Source organism: Homo sapiens, chromosome 3 (assembly GCF_000001405.40).
Source record: "Homo sapiens chromosome 3, GRCh38.p14 Primary Assembly".
In the NCBI taxonomy this organism is placed as follows: Eukaryota; Metazoa; Chordata; class Mammalia; order Primates; family Hominidae; genus Homo; species Homo sapiens.
The window spans coordinates 81,844,425-81,858,148 of NC_000003.12; the positions used below are offsets into that span (position 1 = coordinate 81,844,425).

Sequence of the window (13,724 nt, forward strand, 5' to 3'; positions counted from 1 at the left end):
TTAGGAATCACTGAAAAAATACTGGAAATACATACACTGTTACTCTGTAAAAATTTCCAAAAACCTGAACTTTAGCTCTTCTGAGGATAAACCTATTAAAACATCACAAGAAATGTAATCAGTATCTTGTAGAAGCTAGTAAGGACAATTTCACTGCTGAGTAGAGTATCTGTGACCTGGAAAACAATATAAGGATTAAAACAATGACTCTCAAGAGTTATTTTAATAGGTTCAGGTAAATTGGAAATCAAGTATGCAATATGGCACTTACTTTACCTCTATATCCTGTCTGCAGTGCATGAAAATATCAAAATGATATTTGCAATAACACAACATGAGCCAATCTATGAAATGTAATGTCCCAAAAAAAGATTCAGCATGTCTGAACAAGAATACAATGAAGAAAAAGTTACTATAATTATGAAACTTGCGACCATCAAGCATCAAGTTACTTATGTTGTATACATTTGCTGCATCTTTTCTGTAAACCTTTAAATAAGCAATCTAAGAAAATAATTTTCTGGGAGATGACTGAGATAACCAGAGATAAGAAATTAAAATGAATTATTTGGCAGCCACTGTATAGTAACATCAGATTCAATCCTACTGTTGAAATTGCCTCTGTATTGTGAGCAGTTAGAAAACACTTTCTCAAATGATCAACATCTATTTCCAAAATTGTAGTTATGGATAATATGCATAGCTACAAATGATCATGGACTTCCTTCCAAGAATCAATTCAAGGAGAGGAATTCAGACAAATAGGTGCCTTTTAATAAGTCAAGTTCCAGCTGTGAACTTCAAGGCAATTATAAGAGAGAAACATAAAGAGTCCAGGCATAATACAAAATAAATAAGTCCTATAAAATTGGAAATTTGCAGGGTTCTAAATCTTTAGGAATCCACGGGATGTTCGCAAATGCATTTGGAGGGCAGGACTTTCAGAGCTAACATAAAATCGGACTCATTATCTTTCTGTAATTTAGTATTTCCTCTTATAAGAATTCTAAATAGAGGGTAGCTAGAATAGCTGAATTAATCAAAACTTCTTTTCCATCAAAAGTTCGTTACCAGCGCCCTTGGCTCTGTTCTCATCTCCTTCATGCCTGCACATCTCTCCTGCATGACTTCAAAGGCAAATCTCCACACAGGAGATAGGAATGAGAGGCTGGGGGATGAGAACCGGGCCACCTCTGTTAAAAGAGAGGCTTAATTAAGTACATATTTGAAGAGTGCCTTTCACATGAAAAAGCAGTAAGAAAACTCAGTACTATTAACACTGAACAAGAAGTGCCTGGTCCTGGGAGCAAAGCCTTACTGAGATTAAGGAAAAAGTTTATATTCTCCTCCTCCAGGCAAGCATTTTTCAATGGGGTTCTTTATTGATCTGTCATCCTAAGAGAGTCTGTAAATCTAGCATCTGCATATTGATTCCTAGTTGGTTTGGAAGAAGAGGAAGCAGAGAACAAAAGACACATCTTTCTTAAGTCAGAGTAAAACTGCATGCTTGCAAATGTGCACTCATTTCTCTGCAAAAGGACTTATAGTACATGTAAAATTTGGAGGCAAACACTTTTTGTGTGTGTAATGAGAAGATCTTAATTTTCATTTGTTACTTAGAAACTTAACTGGCATGATTTATTATTAAAATGACCAACGTTATTGTAACAGCATGTTAAGGCCAAACTGTTATTTAATGTCATACCCATAATTTAAAGATAAATCAAAGCATGGATAAATATTAACTGTGATTTATGCAATGTATTAAGAATGTTAGACAAAAGTTTTCATCAGAAATGAAAACTTGGCAGGTATATTCTAATGGTTCAAGTAGATGTACAGTCATTGGAAGTTTAGAGTGAGGCACCATATTTCCACAGATACAAAGTCCTGAAGTGAGATGCCAGGTCGAAAAACAAATCCTCTGAGAAAAATAACTGGCTAGAAGGCTCTAATTCCGATGATAAAAGGACTGAGTAAGAAAGTAAAGTAAAAATATATTTGCGAGAGATTTCCTTGAAAGGAGCTGGTGCTAGGCTCTAAATCTCACCACCCCTCTCAAAGGTGAGGACTGGGAATCCATCCTCCTCAACCTGAAACTTAGAAAGAGGAGCTTCATTGGGAGTATTTGGAAAGCTTGAGAAATGGCTCCGGAATTTAGGGAACTGACCTAATGTCTGACACATGTCCTGACATTCTTCAGGGGAAGGCCATGACTTCTGAGGTAGCATGTTCAAAAGAAAGAAGAGTCTGTTTGTATAATAATCACATTCCCACTAGTAACAGAGCAAAAGCTCATTTGCATTTCCTGTACACCAGATGTAGATGACAAGAGTGGGAGCACATTCTAGCAATCATGCTTGGCGGGACTTCCAGGATAGGCAATAGTACTCTAACTGCTAGTCTGTGTTGAAGACGACACTGTGGAAGTTAGAACTAAGGGAGAAGTAGACATCTGAAGGAAAGGTACTGAACAAGCAGTCACAGATGTTGTAGCCAGGGAAGGTTAGCTTCCAAGGTCTGAAAAAGCTTTGAACATCTGCCAGGCCAAGTTCCTATAATACCATCTTGTGATAATACCTGCCTAAGTGAAAGCTCCCTGTCTGCCTTTGGCCTCCAATCCTTTTAATTTACATGAACAGGTGAGTAGAGGAGGAGATGAGTTAGACAGAATGACCCATTCCCTCCATCCTCTACCACTGCAATGGCTACACTACAGTCAGGCTCTGATTGAAGAGGGGAAAAGTTCAAGGTTGTATTTTTGATTACTGTGGACCGAACAGTGTCATTTCTGAAACAAGACTATGCTTGTGACAGGAATGGAATGAGGAAACTTCAATTACCTAAAACCAACAAAAGGATCATGAAACCTTCAAATGTTTCATACAGTATTGGAAAACTACCTGCAATAGACACAATAAGAAAAAGTGGGTAAAAAAAATTAGTTTTGTCTTCAGTTTACCTTTGAATTGTGCTTATTAAAGGCAATAATAAGCCTAAAACCAATTGTTTTTTCAAAGAAACTGCAGCTAAGAAGCAGCTGGTTAAAATGGGACATATCTGTCATTTTGCTAGCTAATCAAAGTAATCACCATTGAACACAAACATTGTTATAAGTAAAAATACAAATTTCAAACTGAAGGGGATCGTAGTTGAATAAAAAATTCACCAAGGCCTTCAGCCATATCTTCAAAGATATTGAAGCAAGAATTAGTCTATTTATAATTGTACCTGTAAAGCCAAACTGTTATTTAATGTCATACCAATAATTTAAAGATAAATCAAAGCATGGATAAATATTAACTGTGATTTATGAAATTTATTAAGAATGTTAGACAAAAGTTTTCATCAGAAATGAAAACTTGGCAGGTATATTCTAATGGTTCAAGCAGATGTACAATCATTATTTGAAAGGTTGATTAGATGTGTCACCTAAAAAAAGACTCAGTGTTTCTATTTCCTTGTCTGAGTCTTCAATGGAGACATTAATAAGAAGGAAATATCTATTCAAGGAAATCTAAATATTTATTAGTTCCGCCATGCTGTTTGGGTTGTGAACTCAAGTTAGGTAAAATCTCTTTGCCATGATTTGTCAAAAGCAGATTTTTTGATGACTTGAGTGGATTTTGTTTTCTGAAATCAATTTGGGCAATAGCGCTTCAATTCTCCTAATTAGCTGCCTTGGCCCATTAGAAAACTGAGTTTCTGTCCTCCATTTTAGAAAGCAAAGACTAGGACAAAATAGCACATTACTGTAGTGGTAGCGAAGAGACAGATAAGGTTTGAGCTACAAAGAACAGTTTCAAAAAAGTGGTTCTGAGCAACCTTCAGTTAGTAAATAAAATCTGTGCAAATAGCTATTTGTGAAACTTGTATTATTTTCTCTTTTTTGAAGTTATTTGCAGGATTGATCCAGTGCTTAGAAAAATGACTGACAGATGAATCAGTTTTGAATCTCTCAGTTTCTATTCACACTGTCTAGATCAAACCTTCATCTTTCAACTAGGTTTTGACAATACCTTCTTTTTTCCTAACTTCCCTTACTTCAATGTTGCTCTCCTCTAATGAACCCTTCATTATACTGACAGATTATTTTTAAATGCAAATCAGTTAACATTTGTTGTCGTTGTTTAAAATAAATTGTTAGACTCCCATTTCCTAAAGGAGTGTTTCTCTACAATTTTTCTTCTGCCTTAACATGCAAGATAGCTGGTATTCATACAAAGGACAAACAGCGTGGACATACATAGCTTTAGTGTCATTAGCTATTTACTCCACTTTTTTCTTCCTACTCACTCAAAAAAGCATACTGAAATGCAAGAAACTGAAAGGCATGTAAGACTAGAACTCATTTATTAGAAACAGTAATCAAATTTTTACTGACTGCTATTATTAACAAATTATTGGTATAATCGTGTATCAAGATACTATAGTTAAAAACCCATTGGACTACAAGATAAACCCAAACTACTCAATTTGATATCCGTAGTACTAGCCTAACTCATTTTTTGCTCCTTCTTCAATTATATTTGCCTCCGAAGGGAAAGAATACAAATCACGCAGGAGGGGAGAATTTCTTAGCAGGGAAGAACACGTAGAGATATGGGAAACCAGAGAGCAACAGACCTCTGGACTCCACAGTTCATCTAAGGCTGGTTTGGATCCATGAGTCTTCTCATACATTCAACGGACTATCTTAACTAGGCTTTCTTACATTATTGACAGTGTTTCAGTTTATTACTTTGATAAAATAATAGAATTTAAAATATGGATCTGTGACATAGTTAAGTCACTATACTTGTTAGTAACTCAGGAGATTATAGGTTTATAATTTAAATTTCATAGTCATGTACATTTTTTACTACCATGTGAACTTTCGGAGGGGCAGAAAGTCGCAATCAAATAAGTAGATTTCAGTTATTAATATTAGATTTGATTACCTTATGTATTTTTAATAAAAATATAAAGAATTCTACACCTATGAGATTTATAAAAATAAGATTAATTACTATATCTGCAGGTAGAGTAATTCATCAGAGCAGAGAACTGATGAATTACTGTCTCTAAGATAATTTATCTTTGAAAATTCTGTTCTAAGCTGAATGTGTAAAATTTCCCATCCATTTTTATAGCAGAGCACTTTTCTTAGCCACGGATTTAGTAAAACTAGAATATCTTGTGCACAAATGTCTAAGTTCTGATAAAGAAAATCTCACATTCTTAAATTCCACATACATCTTTTTAATATAGGTTTTTCTTTCTAGGTTTAATTTTCTTTCTAAGCCCCCATTTGATAATTATATGTCACCTTGAGTATGCTTTTTGATGAAGTTTTCTGTCTTCCTAGCTAAATTATGGTTTCTTTAGAGGAGCAAATATGTATTCTATTCTTTGTCTCCTGAATATATAGCACAGTGCTTTGAGGATAGTAAGGCAAATTTAGTTTAGAGGAAACTCATTTTGAGAGGAAAATTTATTAGCTATTTTTTCAAAGTGACAAAACCATTATCAACCAACAAATATTCAGATGCAAACACTCTCCTAGGTATAGCATATGTTTTGCGACACTTGCCCTCAAAGTCCTTTTACAGAGACAAGCCACATACCCAAGGCGGATTTATAAAATACCTAAATGAGTGAAATATATATATATAATATATATTAATATTTAATACAAAAGACCTAAATGAGTGAAATATATGTGTACAGTTATATATTATATAATTTTAATTATATTTAATTATATACAATTAAATTATATATTAAATTATATATTTAATTATATATTTAATATATATAATTAACTATATATTTCACTCATTTAGGTCTTTTGCATTAAATGATATTTTCTATAATTTTAGTATATAGAATAAGTAGAGATTTTTTAAAGATGACTTTACAAAAAGATTATCCTTGAACTTGTACATTAGGTAAAGAGACAGTTTGAGCTCATTGATCCTGTGAGAAAAGGCTTCCCCAGGCACAGGTTTACATGTATTTAAATGTATCACTAATATTACTTTGAGAACTAGACTCCTCTTTTTTTTTCTAATGAACAACTATACTTAATAAGAAATCATGCACATTTTGTAATGTAGTTTCATATTTACAAAAAACTCAAATTAGAATCATGGAAGTACGGTAACAAATTTACTGCTACTTTTGCTTTGTCAAGTAGAGAAGTTCAAAGGCCAGAAATTGAAGAAAAATAGTGGTAAAGGCCACTATTTACAAAAATAAATGAAAATAAATTGTATCCATGATAATGTACAATATTTCAATAGTCTTGCACTGTCATGGCTAAGTCTTGTGAGATAAGAACAAAGGCCTCTGATTTGCAATTTTAGTTTTACTAAATTACAAAGGGAAACTAAAGTTCTGGGAGCTCTAACCCTAGATCTTATATCATTTGGATGCCAGTTCTAGTCTATTTGAATTCCAAACCCATATTCTTTCCACTTCACTGTATTAAAGTTTACCTGGCCACCTATGCATACATGCATATGTATGTGCACACACACACAGGTTTAATTTTCTTTCAGGTTCGGGGAACAATTTTGGCATCAGAGATTTCTCTCGGTTGATCAATACTATGTTAAAAATTACATAATAAAAATTCCTGCTTTTCCTGTTGCATCTTTGCATTTCTACAGTCATAAATATTATTTACGCATTTATATATTCTGCTAGGTACTGAGGATAAAGAAGACAGTCCCTATATTCTAGGAACTTACTGACCGATTGAGAAAAACAAGTATGTGAACAAATATATACTACAGATAATTAAGATGAAATTAGTTTTCAGGTTCAAGGAAGAAATAACAAGGATGAGTGGACAATTCATTATATGGGAGCTCCAGTAAACTGGAGCCTCTGCCTTCTGAAATCTGTTCTTTGTTTGCTGTAGAGATAAGACAGTCTTATTACAGGGTCCTTTTCATAACTACAGTTTACCAAGTTCTTGGAAGGTGTCCAGCAGTGACCTCTCAAATGATGAATTTAGCTCTTTTTCTTGTGCCTTTCTTTAGCCTATACATAATTCTGTCATAGATGTTGAAACATTTTAGTCTTTATTACTTATTTCTTTATATGTTCTAACTTATCTAGACTTGCACCCTAAAGCCAGTGTCTTTATTCTCTGTTTAGCTAAATCCTAACACAAAATCAGGCTTATATAAGGCATCCAATAAATACTCGATAAAGTAAATGAAATAAATATGCAGCATTTGACAGTTTATAGTTTATAAATCCTTCTACAAAGTATGTGACATATTTAATTCATATATATGAATACATATGTATATACACACATATATGTAGGTATATGTATATGCGTGTATGTGTACATATATATACACAATATATATTTATCATTATTATTTTAGTACAAGGAAGAAGTTGCATAAATAAGCAATATTTCATCTGAATTACTGAATTTTTAAAAATTCTAATAGTAATAAGCAAGATAGATCAAAGACTAATACATTTATTTTCATCTATTAGGAAAGTGATGCTTAGAGAGTTTGTTATTAAGGCAAGTTTGGGTGGAAAGCCAGAACTAGGGCATAGGTTTACTGACTCCCAGATCAATGCCCCTCCATTTTACTACACTAGTAAATGCACTAACACAGGAAATAAGAATAATAACACCTATTTGTTCCTTTCACCCAAGGTTCTCAGCATGCCTTGCTAATTGTATCTACAGTCAGAGAAAATAAAGCTCTTACCCCTTCAGGATTTTGTCTAATTCATTCTGCAGACAGTGGCTGAGCCCAAAATACAGCCCTTCTTTCATTTTGATCAAAAGATCATATTGGTTATACCAACCTATTAGTGTCTAGAGAAGCTGTGAGTTAAATTTCTGTGCTTCAAAGGATAAAAAGCATTATTTCTGTTTTGAGATGGTATTAAAAAAAAAAGATTCTGCATGTAGGAGGTTCATTCAGCACACACACTTCTAACATACTTTTAAATCTATCTTAAAATAGAAATCTGTCTAGTTCCTCTGGATCTCTTATAAATTGCTAATGTCAATGCTAAGAATATGTTATTTAGTTTGAACTTTTAAAAGCAGTATGGTTTATAAGTTAAGAATTATTACATAGGATCTCAATTAGATAATGCAAATGTTAGCGTTTAAGTGCTTATATTTTTCATCCTTATATCAGTTTTGGGAGATCATATTTATAAAAGATTGTTGTCATACTGCAGCCGTTCTTTAATTCAGTTCTTTGGAGTAAGTGATGAATATGATCAAGCATTTATAGATAATATTTCTGGAAATAAATATGTGTAATAAGGTTACATAATGAATCAGATTAGAAATAACAATTATAGCTAAAATGGTGGAGAAAGGTTTACATACTTGAAACTTGTGGGGTTAAACATACTATAAAATATACATATTTTATAAATTTTAAATCTTACTCTTTGAGCCTTTGACTCAAAGCCTCTATCTCATCTATATTTATTCAACTATTGCTTCTTTATTATATAGGTACTTTGGTTTCTGCAGATCTAAGATAATTCTCCTTTTCAGAAATTATTACATAATAATCTAATATTTAATTGGATTCCCAAATAGCCCGATTGGTTATAGCGGCAAAAATAATGAAATTGTTGTTTTCTGGTTTAAGTACTGACACTGTTACATTATCTAATTTATTAATCTATAAAACTCTTTGGGAGTCTCTAGTTGGTAAGTTGGGACTTACTGCTCGATCTTTAATGACACCTGTTAACTTTCAGAGCTGGTTGCTCCCCATAATGTGATCCTTTCTGTCAAGAACATCCATTCCAACACCAGTCCTCGGTCTGCAGCATTTTCTAAGATGAGCACAATTGGCCAATCAATTTAATAATTATAATTATTAAGTACCTTAAATATGACAATAGTATTGTGTTAATTGCAAGAATATAAACATTACATGCCATGTTCTCAAAGAACTTATTAACAGAAGACAGAGCATGTTTAGCACAGCTACTGTACAGGAAAGTTCATGGCAAACAAATTAAAGGGTATATAAATTGAACAGGAATACATTTTAAAAAGCTAGATGTAAGATTCAGAGACAGTACAACGTATTAGTTTTGAATATTGTTTCTCTATCCAGACTACATCCGTTTAAATTACAACTTAGCTAATTAGTTGTTGAGTGATTTTGGGCAAGTTACTTGAACGTGCTAACAGATATTTATTATGTGTTACTTCTTTATTTATAAACTAGTGATAATAGTATATATGTACTTCAAAGATTTATTGTTAGAATTAAATAAGTAAATATATGTAATAGTGTCTGGCACATGGAAAGACTGTATGAGTGTTAGCTTTTATTAGTAGTAGCACTATATCTAAGAATAAGTAAGATAATAATGTATTGTACATGAAGTGTTTAACAGAATGCTGTTTTATAGTAACCAGTCAAAAATGTTACTTTATTATCAGCATTATTTTATGTGCTGGATTGCTGTGCTGTTTTGAGAAAAGTAAACCAAACCAAATCAAACCAAATGAAAAAATATATGCACAGAATGAGTAAGGACTGATAGATTCATACAACTCTTCATCTAATTAAAAAACAAATAATATGTTTTGATGTGTTTAAGAGATAGATTTTGAAAGTTATATGGAAAAGGGGATGAGGGATGGTCTAGGAAATTAATACCAGAGTACGTCTCAGGGTGAGACACACAAAAGTAAATAAAAACCACCAGATCTGGTATTGCTTCTGTATTCTGGCTGTGCTGAAAGTCAACTCCCAATATTAAACCTTAATCAGTTGCCATATGCTGGCAAAATAACTATTTTTATTCCCTGAAAAATGGCATAAGGTCTATAAATGGTAAGATGAGTGCTAAAAAAGAAAAACAAAGCCACTACAACCTAGAACTTCCCCTCCCTCCCAAAATAGCAAACAAAAATGAATATAACATTCTAAGTAAGATTGCATGTATTTATGCCTCCAACAAAGACTTGTAAGATACATCTCTGTTAACTTGACTATTTGGAAGAGAAGTCAAATGAATTTTGGAGAATGACAATGGGTTATCATAAACATAACCACTAGCAATTCCAATTTCTGTTACTATTCTAGATCTGTTCTCTTTATTGGAACAAATCAGTGCAGCATCTGGTAACTGGTATGCAACTACTGAGTTAGTGAATGCTTTATTTTCTATGCTTAAAGACTACCAAAAGAGTTTTGAATTCATTTGGCAGAGTTAGCAGTACTCCTACTGTCTTAGTCCATTTGGGCTGCTATAACAAAATACCATAAAGTGGATAGCCTATAAACAACAGAGATTTATTTCTTACAGTTCTGCCCACTGGGAAGTCCAAGATCAAGACACTAGCATGTTCAAAGTCTGGTGAGAGCCTGTTCCTTTTTGCATAGATGACATATTTTTTGCTACAGCCTCATATGGTGGAAAAGGAGGAAAATTTCCCTTAGGCCCCTTTTTATTTTTTTGCAGATAGGGGTCTCACTGCTTTGCCCTGAGCGGGCTTAAATTTATGATCCTCCCACCTCAGTCTCCCAAGTAGCTGGGACTACAGGAGTGTGCCACCATGCCTCACTATCTTTAGCCTCTTTTATAAGGGCACGAATCTCATTACAAAGTCTCTGTCTTCATGACCTGATCCACCTTCCAAAAGGCCCCACCTCCTAATATCATCACCTTGAGGGCTAGGATTTCAACATAGGAATTTGGGAACACACAAACATTCAGATTATACAAAGCACCTACTCTTTCTAAATTCTAACTTGTCAGGTTTTCTGTCATAAGCTAATCTCCAGGGATTTTGCTTAGTCTGCCATTTCTTAGAACATCATGCTGATCTGCTACACCTAAACGTATCATACATATTAGATTTGGTGAGTAGGACTTAGTAAATAACCCATGCACATGGTGACTGATATGGTTTGGCTGTGTCCCTACCCAAATCTCATCTTGAATTGTAGTTCCCATAATCCCCACCTGTCCTGGGAGGGACCCAGTGGGAGGTAATTGAATCATGGGGATGGTTTCCCCCATGCTATTCTCATGATGTGAGTAAGTTCTCACGAGATCTCATGGTTTTATAAGGGACTTCCCCCTTTGCTCTGTTCTTATTCTTTTTTCTGCCACCCTGTAAAAAGGACATGTTTGCTTCTCTTCCTACCATGATTGTTAGTTTCTTGAGGCCTCCCAAGCCATGCTGAACTGTGAGTCAATTAAGCCACTTTATAAATTACCCAGTCTTGGGCAGGTGCAGTGGCTCACACCTGTAATCCCAGCACTTTGGGAGGCCAAGGCGGGTGGATCACCTGAGGTCAGAAGTTCCAGAGCAGCCTGGCCAACATGGTGAAACCCGGTCTCTACTAAAAATACAAAAATTAGCCAAGTATGGTGGCGGGTGGCTGTAATCCCAGCTACTTGGGAGGCTGAGGCAGGAGAATCACTTGAACCCAGGATGTGGAGGTTGGAGTGAGCCGAGATCATGCCATTGCACTCCAGCTGGGCAACAAGAGAGAAACTCCATCTCAAAAAAAAAAAAAAAATTACCCTGTCTTGGGTATGTCCTTATAGCAGCATGAGAATGGACTAATACAGTGAGTTACATGCATGCCAGAGAGTAGGAGATAAACACATTAGAAATTTAGGGGATGGGACCTCAGTGGTGGAAGAAATGGTGCACATTACGGTGGCAAGAGGAAGAGTAGGTCACAGCAGGCATTATGGAAATTTGAGTGGGGCCTTAAAGAGTGGATGAGTCTTTTGTTGTTAGAGATGGGGGAAAGTGATGCATTTCTAGTAGAGAGAAAAATATGGGGGAAAAACATGGAAATGAGAGAGTGGAGCAGCACCAAAGCTGTTTTGCAAATGCACAGTAAAAACTGGAAAATAATGTAACTGGAAATGAAGCTGAAAAGGCAAGCTGGGTCTTGAATTGCCAAGCTAAGAGTTTGAGTGTTATTTTTGATAATGAGGTGTGCATTTGAGCTAGAGGAAATGTTTCCATAGACCTGTTATCCTGCAAGAAAATGCAGGAACTGACAGGAGGAAGTGGGTATGAGGGGAACATCCTATCATTTTTTCCCTTCCCCAACTCACTGACCTCAGGAGTCTGGTAGATTTTTATTGACTCCAAGGTAAGAGCTGCACCTTTAATTGAACACTTACAAAAATCGGGTAGGTTCCTTTACCTAGACTTCTAAAATCTCAAGTTGTAGAAAAAAAGACATAATTCCAAATCACACTTTCATGAATGATAATATCCACTGCTATGGCAGTTGCTCTGTCTGTTAGTTTTTAACTCTTTGAATAGCCAATCCCTTAAAAGGAGAAATTATTATAGCAAATTACAATAGCAAATTATTGATTGGATTTCTTACATAGAAATGGCCTGAAAGAAAAGGAATTGTTGATATTTGTGCTTTGTAATGAAATGTTTTCCTTAGTGGGCTATATAGAAAGATGTCACTGGTCCACTCTCAAGGATATTTGCAGTTTAATAGACTTCTCTTGGTTGCAGAAGGAGTAATAGCGATAGTGACAGTGGTAGTAATAGTAGTGGTAATATTATAGGTCATATTTATTTTGAATTTCCATGTCAGAAATAGTCCTCTCAATCCTGCCAACTACAGCCCTATGAAGTACTTGCTATTATTATTCCTATTTTACAGATGAGGAACCTGTTGAACAGAAAAGTCTCTGACCATAATCAAGGTCACACAGTCAGAAGGCATCCCAGCAGACACTCCACACTAGCCAATGTGGATTCAGAGACTGCACCCTTGATTACTGTGTTGTTTGATGATACTAGTGGTATGATTCATCATTCATAGAAATATAATAAGTCTTAGACATAATTACTGGAAACAGATTAGAGTTGTTTGTGTTTGTTTGTTTTTGATGGGTGAAAATAATTAGCCTATATTTAAATATGTGATCTCTGCCCTATTTGAATGTTTCTCTAATGCCAGCCATAATGAATCATAAAGGTGAATATGAATTATTATCATTCCTTCTTTTTAATCAAGTCACAACAGTTGTTAGTCATTTTTTAAAGTTTATGGCATTATTTTGAAAAGTATAGTTAATGTACAATTTCACGATTATTCTGAAGTCTTGACTTTTTGGTCAATTTACTTCCAATATAGACTTCCTTGCATTACACAAAGGACTTTACTTTAGATTAAAGTGTTTGGCCTTGTGACCAGTTATGTTAACACTTTGTTCTCTGTACTTCACGTTAATGCTATTGCATTTGTTACAGACATGTGATTGTGTGGCTTTTGATTTTTATTTTTCTGTGTTCAAATATTTAAACCTCATTTGTGAATCCTGTTTTTAGTTCCATCATATAAGATAGCTCAGGGCTGGGCCCAGTCAATCCCTCTAAATTCTAATCATCATAATTCTTATCTTGTTTGATAAAGGTATAAATTATGCCTAAAGGACAGTGTTCCTATGCCAGAAATAGGGAGGACCAATTAGTAAATGAATGACTCATCTTTTTGTGTATAATTTCCACAGTCTAATTTTGCTTAACAATGCCTCATGCTTTAATCATGAGGTTAGTGTATTAAAGCAATGGTTGATTTTTGGCTCCTCCCATATACTGTATGACATGATATGCTAATATATTCAGAAACCTAGGAATAGTTTCATTTATTGCTAGTGGTAATGGCCAATAATCAAGGCATAACTTCATAATAAGAAATTCACTTTCAGAATGAAAA

At 34.4% G+C, this 13,724-nt stretch overlaps 1 long non-coding RNA gene across 7 annotated transcripts in view; it reads left to right on the forward strand.

Moving 5' to 3' along the window:
* The window catches only part of LOC105377178 (uncharacterized), a 51,481-nt gene that overhangs the window by 20,131 nt on the left and 17,626 nt on the right, over positions 1-13,724 (forward strand). For 4 of the 7 annotated variants that reach the window (NR_188675.1, NR_188678.1, NR_188676.1 and 1 more), the window contains one exon: positions 12,666-12,807. The exons of 2 other annotated variants lie outside the window; for them this stretch is intronic. This is a non-coding gene — a long non-coding RNA (uncharacterized LOC105377178). Of the gene's footprint in view, positions 1-6,690; positions 6,755-12,665; positions 12,808-13,724 lie in introns of all 7 variants that reach the window. One more of the 7 variants, NR_188679.1, reaches the window with a different exon arrangement.